General features: G+C 39.3%; 1 protein-coding gene across 2 annotated transcripts in view; it reads left to right on the top strand.

Moving 5' to 3' along the window:
• DCDC2 (doublecortin domain containing 2) overlaps window positions 1-17,025 on the top strand; it is a 211,538-nt gene that overhangs the window by 30,630 nt on the left and 163,883 nt on the right. The window lies entirely within an intron of this gene.

Raw genomic sequence — 17,025 nt, 5'->3', positions numbered from 1 at the left:
AATAGGCCCCTCTAGAAAAAATATTGCGTAAGAAAAAAATTCTAATTGTACAGTATTTGAAGAATATGAGGTTAAATTCATTATTCAAATAATCTGTAGAAAGAGGTACCCTTCCTAGACATCATTTAACATAATTAATATTTTGGCTTGTATTTTCAGTGCATCAAATTGATTAGTCATGAAAGTGATAGGCTTTGTAGCTTAAAGTAGACAAAGGTATACAATTTTCAGGTTGTGCTTATGATATAGCTAAAGAATGACCACCAGTTGATATCTGTCTCAAGTAGAGTAGTAATAAAGGGCAGTGTTGTGAATTTGTTCTGGATGTGATTCTGATGAAAGGATACACACCTGTTTAAAGTATACTACCTTGCATGAAATTGGTGAAGAAACCTGGACTTCCGCAATAGAATTTGAGATGTGTGAATTCCCAAAAAATGTGAGCACAGTATATTTACTCTGGATTCCAGTGTCTTTGCTGAAGACATTATCCCTAGTAAAAGACAACAGGTGTGCAATAGATTTATCGAATATACTTTTTTCTTAAAAATTTTTTTTTGAGACAGAGTCTCCTTCTGTCACCCAGGCTGGAGTGCGGTGGCTCGATCTCTGCTCACTGCAACCTCCACCTCCTGGGTTCAAGCGATTCTCCTGCCTCAGCCTCCTGAGTAGCTGGGATTACAGGCACGTGCCACCACACCTGGCTAATTTTTTTGTTTTTCGTAGAGACGGGGTTTCAGCATGTTGGTCAGGCTGGTCTTGAACTCCTGACCTCATGATCCGCCCGCCTTGGCCTCCCAAAGTGCTGGGATTACTGGCATGAGCCACCAAGCCCGGCCTTAAAATAGTATTTTTAATAACAGAAGCATTCACAGAAACTCCAGTTCATTTAATTTGCTTATTGTTCTTCCACTCTGGGGACAGTAACCATTGTTTCTCTTTATTTTGCACTTACACATGAGCCAACGTACAAGATCCTTATTTATGGATGCACACCTTACGTGTGAAAAACCTACCCCTTGTCTCCAAATGAAAGACTGCATCTCTTTCATCCTGCTTCCTACTGGTGACTCCCTCCCACTTACTCCTTTCCTCTTGCTGCCCTGCTGTGGCCTTTTATTTCTTCTCAGTCCTTACCCATAAACCCTTCTAAAGGAGATGGAAAGAGAGAAGTAGAAGAAATTGTGAAATGCAAAGGAGATGGGAAAAGGTGTTCAGAAACTGCTTGTCCATGCTCTTTCCCGCATCTTCCACTCACTCATGCCCAGCTTTCCCACTTGTTCGCTAGAGTCCTCTCTCCCACTCTGCCCTCCTGTCCTAAAGTTTCCTCCAGGTCTGGACAAGCAGTGTGTTCACTTCCCTCACTTCACATGTCCAGTCCGGAGATACCTTCCTCCCCAAAGTTCGCACCATGACCTTCACCCTCCGAAGTCTGCTTTAAGCAAAGGCAGCCCCTACTTTCATTGCCAGAAAGAAAGGTTTTTGGGTTCTTGGCATCTCAAAAGGGAACTATGAAAGCATTTTTCTTCTGGAAATATCACTTTGACTCTGAATTCTATGGTATTTTTACGGCTGTTTTAGGTAGAGCACGAGTGGAAAAGGGTTTTGCAGGCTGCCCTGAGAACCTAATTATACTGTGTGATTTTTAGTATGGGAAACTACCTTTCTCTTTCCCACAACTGATTTATAGTCAAACTTTTGGAGTTCAACAAGTTGATAAGTTGGAGGATGATCTATGCTCAAAATTTGAGAACAGACTTGGTAGAACACTGGCATTTCACAAAAATTATAGATCTTTAAAAATCTTAGGTGGGTATTTCCTTTCAACATTAATGTGTTGAGAAAAGATTGCACATCTTGTTAAGTGCTATTAAGGATGAGCATTCTTTGGAGTATGATGATATATAAAGGGAGATCAATAGAGAATTATTTTTGAAGTGGATTTAGAACATGAATACTTCATGAAATTGGAGGGTTAAGAGTTGTTTCAAGGGGGAGTTTCAGTGCCGTAGTAGCACAAAAAAATTCAAAAATGTGTCATTATGAGGGATGAGTAAAATAACTTACTCACCAAAATGGGGGGCATTTCCTTCAAATCTAAGGTAATTTTGAGTTTTCAGTGATGGGCCTGCATAATAAAAGCCACCACCCCAGTATACACAATTCAGTTTTTCTGGTTGCCTAAAACATACTAATTCTAATTATTCCGAGTACATTTTATACGGAAAGACCTTTGCATTTCAGTGGAGTCATGCAGAGTGTGTGGCACTGGGTCCTACCCACTGTGGCTGGGACACCCTTTCAGTGAGTGCTGGGAGTTATTCCTTCTCCTTTTCCAGAGCAGCTCACCCAAGACCATGGGTACGATTTGTTGCTTTTACGTAGTTAATAATTTAGACAAGATGGCACCTGCTTATTGACTTCAGGTCATGCTAACTAGAATGTGCGTGTCACCTTGACATTGGAAATGCTTTTGTGGTTTGTGTCACTGCTTGCTTGTTCCATGAGGCTCATCTTTGAAGAGATACTTAAGGACAGCCAATGCTATTCCTCTTCCTCTTTATGGCCTCATGATGGGTTTGGGGAAAGGCAGAACTGTAATGGACCTAACCCAAAAGAAGCATAGGGTCCTATTTGGTGAACACTTTGCACAGCAGGAAGTAATGGGGTGGAGGGGGGGAATAAAGAAACAGAAGAATAAAAGAAAGAGGAATAAGGTGACTCTGTGGTTGTTTGCACCCACCTCAGAGTCAGGGCACCATATGGGCTCAGAGCAGCCTATCCCTGACTCTCTACACCCAGGTCCTGCTTTTACTAATATCTAAATAAACAGATCTCCTGGATTGCCCTTGTACTCTTTTTGTGCTCCTGAGTCATTTTGCATAGCTATATTTTCATTTTTCCTCCCACTTTCCCTGTGTCAGTGGTGGTTTAATGAAGACAGTTTTCTTAGCTTCTGACCGTGGTAACTCATCTCCTTGTATTTATGACTTCCCAATCCTCTCTTTGCTTCCTCGTGTCCCACCTCTCAGTCCAGTTTCACATCTCATTATATCTTCTAAGTCCTAAGTTGATTTACCAGCTCCTTTCTTTCCTCTTTACCTTAAGCAGCCTGTGGGAGTCCTCTGTCCTCATGCAGTTGGAGACCTCTGATTCTGCATGTGTGATGCCTTTACCAGCACTTACTCTTGCCCCTACCCTTCTGCTTTACTGAATGTGATTTCTGCTTCCTCTCTTCTTGTTTTCCTACCTTGTCCTCTCTGCTTCCATGTTATTGAATGCCTATACAATGCAGTGGGCAGAGTAAGCAAAATGATTAAGACATGCATGACCTCTCACATCCAGGAATTTATAGTCTTGCTGAAAAGACAGATGAGCATCTCTAGTACTACATCATAAGTGATTCGATTTAGTAAATATAGTTTGCATTGAGCCATTTAGTTCAAGTGCTTCTGGCTTTATCATGTTGCAGCAAAGCCATTTGTGGACCCTTCAAATGGAAGCGTCCTTCTGCTTTGACCTGGCATTGTAGATCTCACTCTTCATTCCTGCACCTCATGTCTCATCCATGTAGTACATCCTTCAAATAATGACATTCTTTTTTTTCCATAACCATTCAAGGTGGAATTAATGACATTCTTAAATAGATATTTAGAGTACAAATCTGTTTTACTGTGTAAGGGGCTTTGGTACATGTTATATAGAGAGGGGAAGAGCAGGCAGCTTGACTTTGGAGCACTTAGATGGGCTGGGAACTGTGCTAGGCACTAGGCATAAAATGGATACTTCACTGCTCTTGCTCTTTGGGAGTTCAGCGTGTAGGAGAAGAGACAGAGAAGTAAACTAGCTATGATTATCTAGTGGCAGGTGGCTGTGCTAGAGGTGTGCTCAGAGGACTGAGGAAGTGCAGATTGGATTAGGGTTGTGGGTCAGCCAGTTTGAAATGGTTTAAAATATAATAGACCCTTTTGTTTTTTAGCCTGCTTCTCTTAGATCAAAGTTTTGAGAAAGTCTTTTTCTACAACTTGATTAAGAGGGTATTATTTAATAATTATATCTGTAAGAGTCAAAATCAGTCTCTAGCAGAAAGAGTGAAAATCAGCTTGCATGGAAAAGAGGAAAAGGTCGCTTTGCTATTAACCAGGCTTAGAGGATAGACACATTTAAAGCCAACTATAAAATTAACAGGAAACATTGTTTCTCCCATGGTGGCACAGGGCTGTAAAATGCCACAAGGATCCCTTCTTTGAGTGATGACTGCTTTCTTACTGCTGATGCTCTCAGACTTGCTTTGCTATTCCCATCTTTTACGGAGATCTTTATTGGATAAACTTCTCTTATCTCATACAACCCCTGGTTAATCCCTGATTCTTTTAATTTCACCTTAAAAACAGAAACCAATCTAGAACTGATCTCTGTTTCCCTTAGCTCTTCAGAATCCTTCAATGAGATTCCAAACCCTACAAACCTACAAACCCTCCTGCCTCTTTGTCACTGTCATTTTATGGATTCTTTAAGTGCTGGCACTTGCTACACCAAGTCCACACATCTGATTTTGTCAGACTGCAGGCTTGTTCCTGTTAGACTTCTGATTAGGCTTTAACATATACATCAGAGTTGTCTGTTAGATTGTGGTCTCTAGGAGGTCTGCTAATCCTGTATCGTACCCACCACGCTGAAGACTGGGAATTGTTTAAATTTGCCATGGTTTTGATCTTCCTTTTGGGCCAATTTAAGTAGATGTCCATTTGCCTTGCACATGCCTGGTTATTCCGATTTTTGCATGATGGATAGGACGTCTCAAGTAATTTAAAAGCCTTTTTTTCCACCACCTATTTAGATTTTGTTTCAGGGGTAAAATTAGTTATAGTTAAATCTTTGTTTGATACATTTATTGCCCCTGTAGGATAATTTGCAGCTATATTGAATGAATGCTATTCATGCAACAAGTAGAGTTATCCTTCAGTATACTCAGTCCTAGGGATTGTTTCCAGTACCCCCTGAGGACACCAAAATCCAAGGACGCTCAAGTCTTTATATAAAATGTCATCATATTTGCATATAACCTATGCACATCCCCCCGTATACTTTAAATCATCTCTAGATTACTAGTAATACCCAGTGCAATGTAAATGCTATGTAAATAGTTGTTGTACTGTATTTTTTATGTCATTTTTAAATGTTGAGTTTTTTTCTTTTTCTTTCTTTCTTTGTCTGTGGTTGGTTGAATCTGTGGGTGCAGAACTTATCCATATGAGGGCTGACTATATTTATTGTGTGCCTGTTATGTGCTAGGCGTTGTGGTTGTTAGCTGGGAACCAAGCTCCTGGTTTCTGTCCATGGAGCTTACTAATCTTAAGCCTTCCTGGTGTGGTATCTCTTGATTTTTAACTCTACCAATGTTGGTCTTTGTTGCAGAATCTGGTGTAAGGCAGATTTCTTTGATTCAAGAGCTGTATTTAGGGGGCTAAATAGCTTTTAAACTTTATTATTGATAATGAGTCAGAGGATAATGGGATTAATTTTTGAAGAGTAATAAACACCTAATTCCTGGAAAGTATTTTTCTATTTTCCTAAAGTTATAAACACTTAGTCTACTCATTGTAACCTGAATAATAGCTGGGGTTGTCCCTCTCTTATGATCAGGATAAGTAGGCTTGAATCTCCATTGCTTAGCCTTTTTCTTCCCAAGATACATGTGAATTCCACAGGTATTATTATCTCATGCCCACCTCTTCTTCTGAGTTTCTGCTTCTAAAGTATTGGTTGAGTTATGGATTCTCTTGTTCTCTTACAGTTTGTGTCTGTTTAAGACCTCATCAACCCAGAGATGAAATTCTTTCATTGATGTCCACAAGAATACCTCACCCATACAAGTTTATGTGTGGTGAATCTTTTTTTTTTTTTTTGAGATGGAGTCTCGCTCTGTCACCCAAGCTGGAGTGCAATGGTATGATCTCGGCTCACTGCAACATCTACCTCCCGCGTTCAAGCGATTCTCCATGCCTTAGCCTCCAGTAGCTGGGACTACAGACACCTGCCACTACACCCGGCTAAATTTATATATTTAGTAGAGATGGGGGTTTGTCATGTTGGCTAGGCTGGTCTCGAACTCCTGACCTCAGGTGATCCACCCACCTTGGCCTCCCAAAGTGCTGGGAGTACAGGCGTGAACCACCACGCCCGGACTGTGTATGGTGAAATTTATCAATGGTTTGTAGAACTAGAGTGGATATTCTAAGTCACGTAGAAGTGTTGACAGCTCTACATGATGTTGTACTTCCCCACTCTTAAAAATACCTTGGCCTTATATGCCAATTCAGGCTCCAGCCTGTGGCCATGCTTCTTGGTGACTTCTTTCTTTTTTCCCTCTTCCTGTCTCTTTTCTGTACTACCCCTACTCCACATTTCCATTAATTTCTAATACAGAACAAGTTGGAAGTTCATTTTTGTTTCTGTAAATCCATGTTCTCAGGGTCAGCAGTAAATACATTTTTTTTTTTTTTTTTTAGACAGAGTCTCTTTTGAGCAATCTCTGTTCACTGCAACCTCCCCTCCCAAGTTCAAGCAGTTCTTATGCCTCAGCCTCCTGAGTAGCTGGGACTACAAGTGTGTGCCACCACGCCTGGCTAATTTTTGTATTATTAGTTGAGATGGGGTTTCACCATGTTGGCCAGGCTGGTCTCAAACTCCTGACCTCAAGAGATCCACCTGCTCGGCCTCCCAAAGTGCTGGGATTACAGGTGTGAGCCACCATGCCCAGTCTTGCAGTAAAGATAATTTTTACTCTCTTTTCCACATTTATATTTAAAAAATTTAGTAGTCTGTTTTGGGTTTCCTCTTCTTTTATCAGTTCTTCCTCATCTGCTATTGATATCCATCAATAACTCTCAATAACCAGTCACAAGAGAAATATAAGCAAGAAGAGAGAGCAGAAGGTCAAGCTCACCTAATTCAAAGGGATCTATCAGTGAATAAGTGTGCTATCTGTACTTCAGAGAAATGCTGCCTCAAAAGTAAGACCACAGTGAAAATCTTCCCAGAGAGTAGCAGCCTTCTTCTTGGATAAGCCATCCTTCTGAATCCTCTTGAATACATTGAGATAGGTATATTCTCTCAGGGAGAACGTGGATCAACCTTGTTTCTTCTTAGTGGGGTGGAGAATTTTAGAAGTACCAGGAGAGGAAGAGAGAAAGGAAGAGAGTGAAACTGCAAAACTTTGCCTTGCTGAAAAGTTTGTGGGAACCCGGGTTGTACTTCAGGTCAGTTACTCAGGTGAATGTCCTTAAGATTTTGAATATCATTATTAAAATTTCACATTTCAGTTTAATCATTAGGCATAATCTCTAATGAAACATACTATAGGATTTCCTACTTAAAGGCTTTGGTTGGGAACGGGATTCTAGACATTAAATGGATTCTAGATATTAATTGGGATTCCAGGCATTAATTATTAACCTTATTGCAGGAAGGCATGGTGATTATGTGGTTTAACTCACTAACCTTTAGCTTGGGAATTTTGAGACCCAAGAGGCTTCAAAGAGCGAACTACTGAAGAGGTAATCTAAATATTTCTTTCTTTAACTTGAGGAAAACTTTCCAGATTATGTTAACTTGAGGAAAACTTTCCGGATTATGTTAGTCAGGTTTATTAATTTATGAAAGAATCAAAGAAAATAAAACACACTTTTGCAAATTCTTCCAAAAATATTGAAGCCCCTCCCCAAACTTTTATTTTATACCTTTTCCCCCACCACTCTGATATAACTGCTACTTAAGAAGCATTCTTTTAAGGAAAGCCAGTTCACATCAGTGACCAAGGTGACTCCCAAGTATTCATGACCTTACCAAGGTTTTCTGCTAAAGAACAACTGCTATATTTCATTTTTCTTTCACACTTTCTTGTTTTACCCTTTTGTCAGCATTGAACTGTGTGTATGGATGTGTATGGATGCGTGTATGTGTGTTTGAACAAGACTAAGAAAGACAGAAGTGTATCTGTCAACCAGTGAAATATCAGTCTAATGAAAAATATTCATCAATAACTCTCAATCAGCTCTGATCAAAAGCTAAAAGATTGGTGATTTTACTTTAGCTTTGAACATGTATCATGGCATTTGTTCCAAATATCTGGCATCCTCTCTTTGGCATTTAGGCATGATGTTAGGAAGCTTAATAACTGTGAAATTAGCAGATATGCATATTAGAGCATGTATAGTTTTTTATTTATAGTGATAAGCTGTTCTAAGCAAAGAGAAAGTTAATAAATGTTTAGAAAAGAATTATTAACCTTTTCAGAAAAAAATAGGAAAAGTAATAAAATATTAAATTACTAAATATGTGTAAAATACCACTTGTTTTTTCTCTGCCTGACTTATTTCACTTAGCATAATGTTCTCCAGGCTCATCTGTGTTTTTGCAAATGACAGAATTTCTTTTGTTTTTATGGCTGAGTAGCAATGAAGCTCACATGTGGAATCTAAAAAGTCAAACTCATAGAAGAAAAAAAAATGGTGGTTACTGGCGCTTGGGATGAGGACAGGGTGGGGAATGGGGAGATGTTTATGAAAGGGTACAAAGATTCAGTTTGACAGGAGGGATATGTTCTGGAGATCTATTGCATAGCATGTTGATTATAATTAATAATACCGTATATTTGAAAATTGCTAAATGAGTTTTTAAATGTTCCTACTACAAAAAGTGATAAATATGTGAGGTGATAGATATGTTAACTAGCTTGATTTAATCATCCCACAGCGTGCCCATATATCAAAAAATTATGTTGTACTCCATAAATACATACAATTTTGTCAATTAAAAATAAATAAAATACCACTTAGTTGAAATATCAAACTATTCTCAATACAGATTTTCTTTTAAATTCTGACCAAAATAAGATCCTTTTGGCAATTGAACAGCAACACCTATTGAACTGAGAGGAGCTTGTTCTTATATTGCATGAGATTCAGAAATACAGAAGGTGAAATTTAGGACTGTGTAGTACAGTGCATGATCTGAAATTCTGCCAAGGTATATCAAGCTTTTGGTTGATGGCAGTTTAGATACTTGTGCACTTGTGAGAAAATCAATGTTTAGATTTATATTTCAGGATAATTATTAGAATGAGCTTATTGAGTTTTCTGGTGAAATCAGAGGAACTCGTCTTGATGAAAGTATATTTCCATATGGTATAAATAATAGAAAAATGTGTCTAAATCAATAGTAATGTCTAGCCAGGGAAGACAAATAAATTGTATTCAACTTTTTATTGAATGCTGCTCATGCATGATTTTACATTTCCTCAAGAATATTTAGGCGGGGCACGGTGGCTGACGCCTGTAATCCCAGCACTTTGGGAGGCCGAGGTGGGTGGATCACGAAGTCAGGAGATCGAGACCATCCTGGCTAACACGGTGAAACCCGTCTCTACTAAAAAAAACACAAAAAATTAGCTGGGCATGGTGGCAGACGCCTGTAATCTCTGCCACGCCGGAGGCTGAGGCAGGAGAATGGTGTGAACCCGGGAGACGGAGCTTGCAGTGAGCTGAGATCACACCACTGCAGTATGGGCGACAGAAAGAGACTCTGTCTCAAAAAAAAAAAAAAAAAAAGAATATTTACCAAGAGCCAGGCAGTGGACTACATTCTAGGCCTGCAGATATAAAAAGACTCACGTGCCAATCAGAAATGACAACAAGGTAATTGTAGGAGGACTCTCTAAAGAGTTTTAAAAGGTAAGATACATGAAAAGAGTAAAAATGTTGGAAAGTAATATCAGAGATTATTAATCCAGGGGAAGAAAAGTATTATTTAGACCCAATTAATAATTGGCTTCAATACTTACAAAGAATGTGGTAATCAGCCCTCTACATCATAGCTGGGTAACAAAATGGGGGTAAAAAACATTAAGATATTGTGTGAAGATTGGTGAATTTGAGTTGGTTTGAAAGAAAACCCTTTTTTTTTTTTAATTGGAGACTACTAAAAACTTACTGAAGGAGAAAGAGTGATACCTGCTTTCTATCTATTTTAAATAGAAATACATTCTTCTGACTTGCACATTTCGGTTGTATGCCAAGATGGCAGAGGTGAATTGAGGCTTATTTAAATTTCAAAATGCGCTCTAATCTAAGGTTTTCGGGGTCAGAGCCTTCCTGTGGAAGCCCAGAAGGAGCGCTGCCCAGCTGCCACACTCCACGGAGAAGTGGCTGGTGCAAGAAGACTGCCGGAGTGACTGGCAGCAGTCCGTATTGACACCTCCTGTCTTGATTTCCTGTTTCAGAGAGTTCTTCCATGCAAATAAACATGCGATGCTGTGATTTTCTGACTTACAGTCAATATTGTTTAAGCAAAAAAGTAACACAATTTGAAGCAACACTGTGAAAGTAAAGGGTTTGAGGAATATTCCTGTTTTGCCGTATGGTTTTCATATTTAGAACTGAAGGTAGCATAGCACCCTGGACGGACATAGCAACCACCTAAAGAGATGTTTCAGTTTTCCCCCACTAACTGTATGTCCAGCAAAGATGCATTAAAGGAATAAGGGAAGTAAAGCCCAAAGGAGTCAGTAATAAGAAACCAGTATATGAAGTCATCTGTGAGGATGCTTTCACATTTGATTAGGATATAGAAACTTATTGGGTTAAACACTTTAAATTTTATTTCTCTTTAATGTAGAACAAATTCTCTGTGTGTTTGTGTGTGTGTGTGTGTGTACGCGTGCACACATGCGTGCGCCCTCTTACATGTCTGATTGTTGGGGAAGTATTTTTGGATTTTGGGAAACTTTGTTTCAAAGATCTAGAGCAGCAATAAATCTTTGGACTTTTCTTGGAAGGGTAGTTTGGTGAGAACACTGTGCTAATGAGGCCAAGGACTTGGGCTTGAATCCCACTCTTAGATCTACTAGGTCCCTGGCCCCAGACTGTTCCCTAAATAACCAGCTGTCCTCTCAAATGTGGTACTGGTTAAGGTTTGTGGGAAAGTATACATGTAATTCAGCCTACATCTATGACCGAACTCAGAAAACAACTAAAAAGGTCCATGTCTCGAAAGTAGGAGGCTAATAGTCCTATCTTTATGTGTAAAATAAAATAAGTTTCAGTATAGTTCAAAACAGATGGATGGAGGCATTTTTTTTTTTTAAAAAAAGGTAGGTCTCTATTTGCACTTGGCTGATTTCAGCAGGAAATATGCAGGCAGTATGCCCTAGTGTCTAGCTTGGTCAACAATGAAAATTCCCATGTATCATTGTGAAAGCCTCCTTTATAAGCAGCCAGCCAGATCAAACTCAGATGTCATCCCATGATTACATAGTTTGGATGTTTGGTTTGTTGAAATAAAGTTGATTTCAGCCCACCTCTTAGCTGGGGGTAGAACTTTTAAGTGGTGAAGGATCGTGGGAGAGAGACAAATAAATTGACTTTTTATATTTGCAGTGTCTAATGTTTAACCTGGAACTGTTCTCTCTAGGAAATCTCAAATGGCAATCTCTGCTGCTTTGTATTTTTTCCCTCTTTCTAGCAGTGAGTATGTTTGTGTTTCAAAGATCTGTGAACCTCTATGGCCATCTTTGCTATTTCAAATTACATAGCCATATGTAACTGGGCTGCCAACTTTTAGAAATTTTTAGATAATGGCCAGGTTCCATGGCTCACGCCTGTCATCCCAGCACTTTGGGAGGCCAAGGCAGGTGGATCGTTTGAGGTCAGGAGTTTGAGACCAGCCTGGCCAACATGATGAAACCCTATCTCTACCAAAAATGCAAAAATTAGCCAGGCATAGTGGTACGTGCCTGTAGTCCCAGCTACTCGGGAGGCTGAGGTAGGAGAATTGCTTGAGCCGGGGAGGTGGAGGTTGCGGTGAGCCAAGATCCTGCCACTGCACTCCAGTCTGGGCGACAGAGTGAGACATTGTCTCAAAAAAACAAAATTTTTTTTTTAGAAAATAAGTCATCTAATATCATTCAAGTTGCATTTTGTTAATTATATTCTAAGTGATAAAACTCCATATTCATGGCTTGTTTTCTTAGAAACGAGTGGATAACTAGATTTCCAGTATTACAAATTTTGCATTAGCTAGTTTTAGATCTTCCATGCTAGTTTTTAAAAGCTGGATTAAAAAAAGAAGTGTCAATTAAAAATATTTTTACTACAGCAAATACATTCTGTTAGTATGGCTTTTGCAAATGCATAGCTTGTTTTGCATGAAGGCTCAACTGACTAATATTTAATTTAGTCAAATAGTATATGAAAATTGAATTAAATTGCCCTTCCGCTAGCCGGTACTTCTTCTAATCAGATTGCTATTCCCTTGTGTTATTTCTATTTTAATTAATTTTATCAATAATATTGATTAACTTTGACTTTCCTCACCTATTAGGCTACCATAAGCCAGGGGAATCCTCAGAAGCTTCCTGGAAGGAATGATGTATACATTGTGACCTAAAGGGAATGAGTATGTTCACCAGGCAAACAGAAGGAGGAAGAGCATTGCAGGCAAAGGAGATGGCATGTGTGAACGTCTGCAGATGAGAGAGCACAGGGCACATTCATCTACATGTTCATCTCTGCATGAACATGTATATAATGCAATCCAAGCAATGTGATTGTCTACTGGGAATTTTCAGCATTTTTACTTAGTGACTCTTATTTATTCCGAAACTCTATTCCTCTCCACCGCTTCACCAATTCATTTCCTTATGTATAATCATATTCAAATGATAATTTTCCATCTCTTTAGGAATTCCCTTTGCTCTCTCTATCTTATAGCATCAAGTTAGTGGATCAATTTTGATGTGTGCATCAAATTTGGTGTCAAAAGACCCATCCAACACTTATTATAAATATATCCATTCATAGACAATCTTGGTTAGATGTCCACATTTTAACCTGTAACAATGTTAGTTTAGCTTGTGTGTCCCAGGCACCATGTAATTACTCTGAGTACACAGACAGAATTATAAAATCATAATGGCACTCTCCTAGTACTCCATCAAAGTGATCCTAAAGGATTACAAAGATGGTTTTGTTGGCAGCAATTGGAGAAGAGGAGTCTGCAGATGAATTGATCTATGGTCTCTGCTATTATTTTAAGCCTTCTTTCATGTGGGAGGGTTTGGACCCCAAGGGAATGACACTAGTCACAAATTTATGGCTCTCACGTTTTGGTGGTAAAAAATTAACATCACAAATTCTTTCATCAAAAAAATGATATGAGCACCAGTTTATGTGCCAGGCATTATGTTAGTTGGATTTGCAATGGTGAATATATCAGACAAGGCAAGCTTTCCTGAAGCTGGCTGTGTAGTGGAGAAGATGGGGCCGTACGCAAGCTATCCGAAGTGTGCTGTGTGGGAGGATACAGGCGGCACAGGCTGCTGGAAGGATGGCTACCATAAGCCAGGGGAATCCTCAGAAGCTTCCTGGAAGAAATGATATATACGTTGTGACCTAAAGGGAATGAGTATGTTCACCAGGCAAGCAGAAGGAGGAAGAGCATTGCAGGCAAAGGAGATGACATGTGTGAATGTCTGCAGATGAGAGAGCACAGGGTACATTTGAGAAACATACATGTGCTGTTTGGCTGAATCACGGGAAGAGGTTGGGATAGAAGGTTGGGAATGGAACTATGTGAGAGATAAGGCATGGGAGGTAGAGAGGTACCAACATCAGGGGTTTTAAAAAGTAATTTATCTTTTTCCTAAAACCAACCAAAAGCTGCTGGGCATGGTGGCTCACACTTGTAATCCCAGCACTTTGGGAGGCTGAGGTGGGCGGATCACCTGAGGTCAGGAGTTTGAGACCAGCCTGGCCAACATGGTGAAACCCCCTCTACTAAAAATACAAAAATTAGCTGGGCGTGGTGGTGTGTGCCTGTAATCCCAGCTACTTGGGAGGCTGAGTCAGGAGAATCACTTGAACCTGGGAAGCAGAGGTTTGCAGTGAGCTGGGATCACACCATTGCACTCTAGCCTGGGCAACAGGAGTGAAATTCTGTCTCAAATTAAATAAATAAAACCAACCAAAAGCTATTGAAGGGATTTCATCAGGGAATTGACACAATGACTCTTATTGCTACAGCAAGGTTGGAGGCCAGGCGACCATGTGTTGGAGGTAAATGTGCCACTCATGATGGGAGAGGCTGTTGAGATGGTGGAAGGATTAGATTTGAGAAACAGAGCTTAGTGATTGAGTGGATGTGGGGTAATGAAGAAAGATTAGCTGGATGATTTTTGAGTTTCTGGCCTGGGCTACTGGATAGATGGCATTCCCTTTCGTGAAGACAGGGAATACAGTTGTTGTTTTTTTTTAATGGCGGTGACAGGCAGAGATATTTGAAGCATTAACTTTTGAATATTGAGCCAGCCTAAATGTTAGAAGATGCACAAAACTGGAACTCACTGTGAGTGTTTGTGCATGTGCACATGTGTGTGTATGTATTTCTTTGATATGTGTTTAGTCAGTGTTGTTCTAAGTACTTTACAAAGATGATATAATCCTCACAACAACCTTATGAAGTAGGGATTGTTATTATTCTGATTTTACATGGGAGGAAATTGATAATGAAAACATGTTTCTCAAGAGCTCACAGATGAGGGACTGTGTGTTCATGTATTGTGTGTTAATGCAGAAGGAAGCGTTTCCTAAGAATTAATGCAATTTAATTAAAAGATGATCATTCAGTGTCTTTTTGCACTTGAAAGGATGTTTGTGGGAGTGAAGGGTTTTAAAATTTTTTAATACCTTGATTTAATGATGATAAGAAGGATAAAATATATAAGAAAGACTAAAGAATTAGGAAGTGAATCCAGAAAAGGGATAAAATATTCTTTCAATTTCCTTAATAGTCTTTTTTTTTTTTTTTGAGACGGAGTCTTGCTCTATGGCCCAGGCTGGAGTACGGTGGCACCATCTCAGCTCACTGCAACCTCCGTCTCCCAGGTTCAAGTGATTCTCCTGCCTCAGCCTCCCAAGTAGTTGGGATCACAGGCACGCATCACCACACCCAGCTAATTTTTTTATATTTTTTTGGTAGAGATGGGGTTTCACCATGTTGGCCACCTCGGTCTTGAATGCCTGACCTCAAGCGATCCGCCCACCTCGGCCTCCCAAAGTGCTGGGATTACAGGTGTGAGCCACCGTGCCTGGCTCTTAATACTCTTCTTTAACAAGTCATCATTAGTCACAAAATATTGCCGGGAATTATTTTAGTTGTATTCTCAATTGACATTTTTTTTTTTGGCTTTGCAAATATTCCCTATAGGACAGGATATTTATGTTGAATGTTTCCAATACAGTGCTTGAAAAGGCTTTGGCATATCTGCTTATAAAAAGGCTCCCATAGGAAACCAGAAATATTTTTACATGGAAATTTACAACAGAGTGTGAAGAGATTACAGAGAGATATATAGAGCTGAGAATCACTGAATGCATTTTTTATTTATTTATTTTTATTGTACTTTAAGTTCTGAATGCATTTTTAAAAAGTTTTTACTGTGCTACTGTCAAAGGGCCATTTGGTTTCTTTAGCTGTTTTTTCCAGATGTTTCGAGTAACATTTACCAAGTTACTAAGCAAAAAACGCAACTTGAAGGATGGGAGGAAGATAATAGGGGAGAGCATCATGTGTTGGAGACAAGCTACTTTTCTCCCCAAGATCTCAAGGTGTCAGTTCTTTGATCTTTATGAGCCTCATGTTCCTTATCTAAAATGTGAAAATAATACTACTATCTTTTAAAAATTATTGTGAGGATTAGAAACATATAGGTATGTGTTTAGCTCCTAGCACTGTACCTAATACATATTTAGAATTCAGTAAATGGAAATTATGCCATGTTGTTGCTGATGTTACAAAGGGCCACATTAATTGAATAGCTCATAAGTGAAATAAGACAGGGTTTACTTCTTGAAGACTGGGTATTTGGAAAAAAAAATAAAAAAAAAAGGCAGGGATCACTGACATTATATTGGCTGCTTTATCAGGCTGTGACTAAAAGGAGAAAATGCAAATGCACATTAAATGTAAATGTAAATGTAAATGCTTGGTCAGCTACAAATCCCTCTACAAATGTTATGTGATACTTATCATTACTTCTAAAAGAAGTAATCATAGAGTGAATGTTTGATAAATAGTTGAGATCATTATTATATAAATATATGAAAAGGAAAATATTTCAGCAAATAAAATAGCACATAATATACTTCTATGTGTGACTGGATCTTGGAATTGTTCTTCACATGTTTAGGGTTTGCATAATTTCACAAAGACTGAGAGATACAGAGAGAGTAAAATACACTGTGAATTAGCCAAGAGTTTTCCTTGCAATAAGTGGAAAAAAAAAGAAGTCTCTGCTTCATTTTAGCAGAAAAAGAATTTTTGAAAATATGTTAAATATCCTTCAAAATCTCTGGTGGGGCTGGAGAACTACGTTGAGAGAATAAGCAGCCAGGAAATCAAGACAGCCAGAACCCAGATTACACTATGTCACCAGGACCAAGCCATTAAAGACAGTCCTGCCACCACCATTGAACAGTGGAGACATTCAGATTTTTAGGCTACTGCCCCCAACTTTTGACAGTGGATATTGTAAATACTTCCTCTAGAACCTGGATTTGGTTGCTGTTGATGGCATGATTATACCTTCTTTGCTTTGTTGGTCCATCAGTACTGGCGTAAAAGCCTGGGTGGGACTACTGGGCCAAGCTAGGTGATATGGTTTGGCTCTGTGTCCCCACCCAAATCTCGTTGTAATCCCCATAATCCTCACATGTGGAGGGTGGGACCAGGTAGGAGGTGATTGGATCATGGGGGCAGTTTCCCCCATGCTGTTCTACTCATAGTGAATATGTTCTCACGAGATCTAATGGTTTTGTAAGGCAGTTTTCCTTGCTCTTGCTAACTCTCCTGCCACCACGTGAAGAAGGTCGTTGCCTGCTTCCCCTTCTGCCATGATTGTAAGTTTCCTGAGTCCTCCCAGCCATGCAGAACTGTGAGTTAATTAAACCTCCTTTGTTTACAAATTAC

This window comes from Homo sapiens, chromosome 6, assembly GCF_000001405.40.
Source record: "Homo sapiens chromosome 6, GRCh38.p14 Primary Assembly".
Classification (NCBI taxonomy): domain Eukaryota; kingdom Metazoa; phylum Chordata; class Mammalia; order Primates; family Hominidae; genus Homo; species Homo sapiens.
Note: the sequence above shows the minus strand (reverse complement) of the source record. Positions and strands in the feature narration are given on the sequence as shown.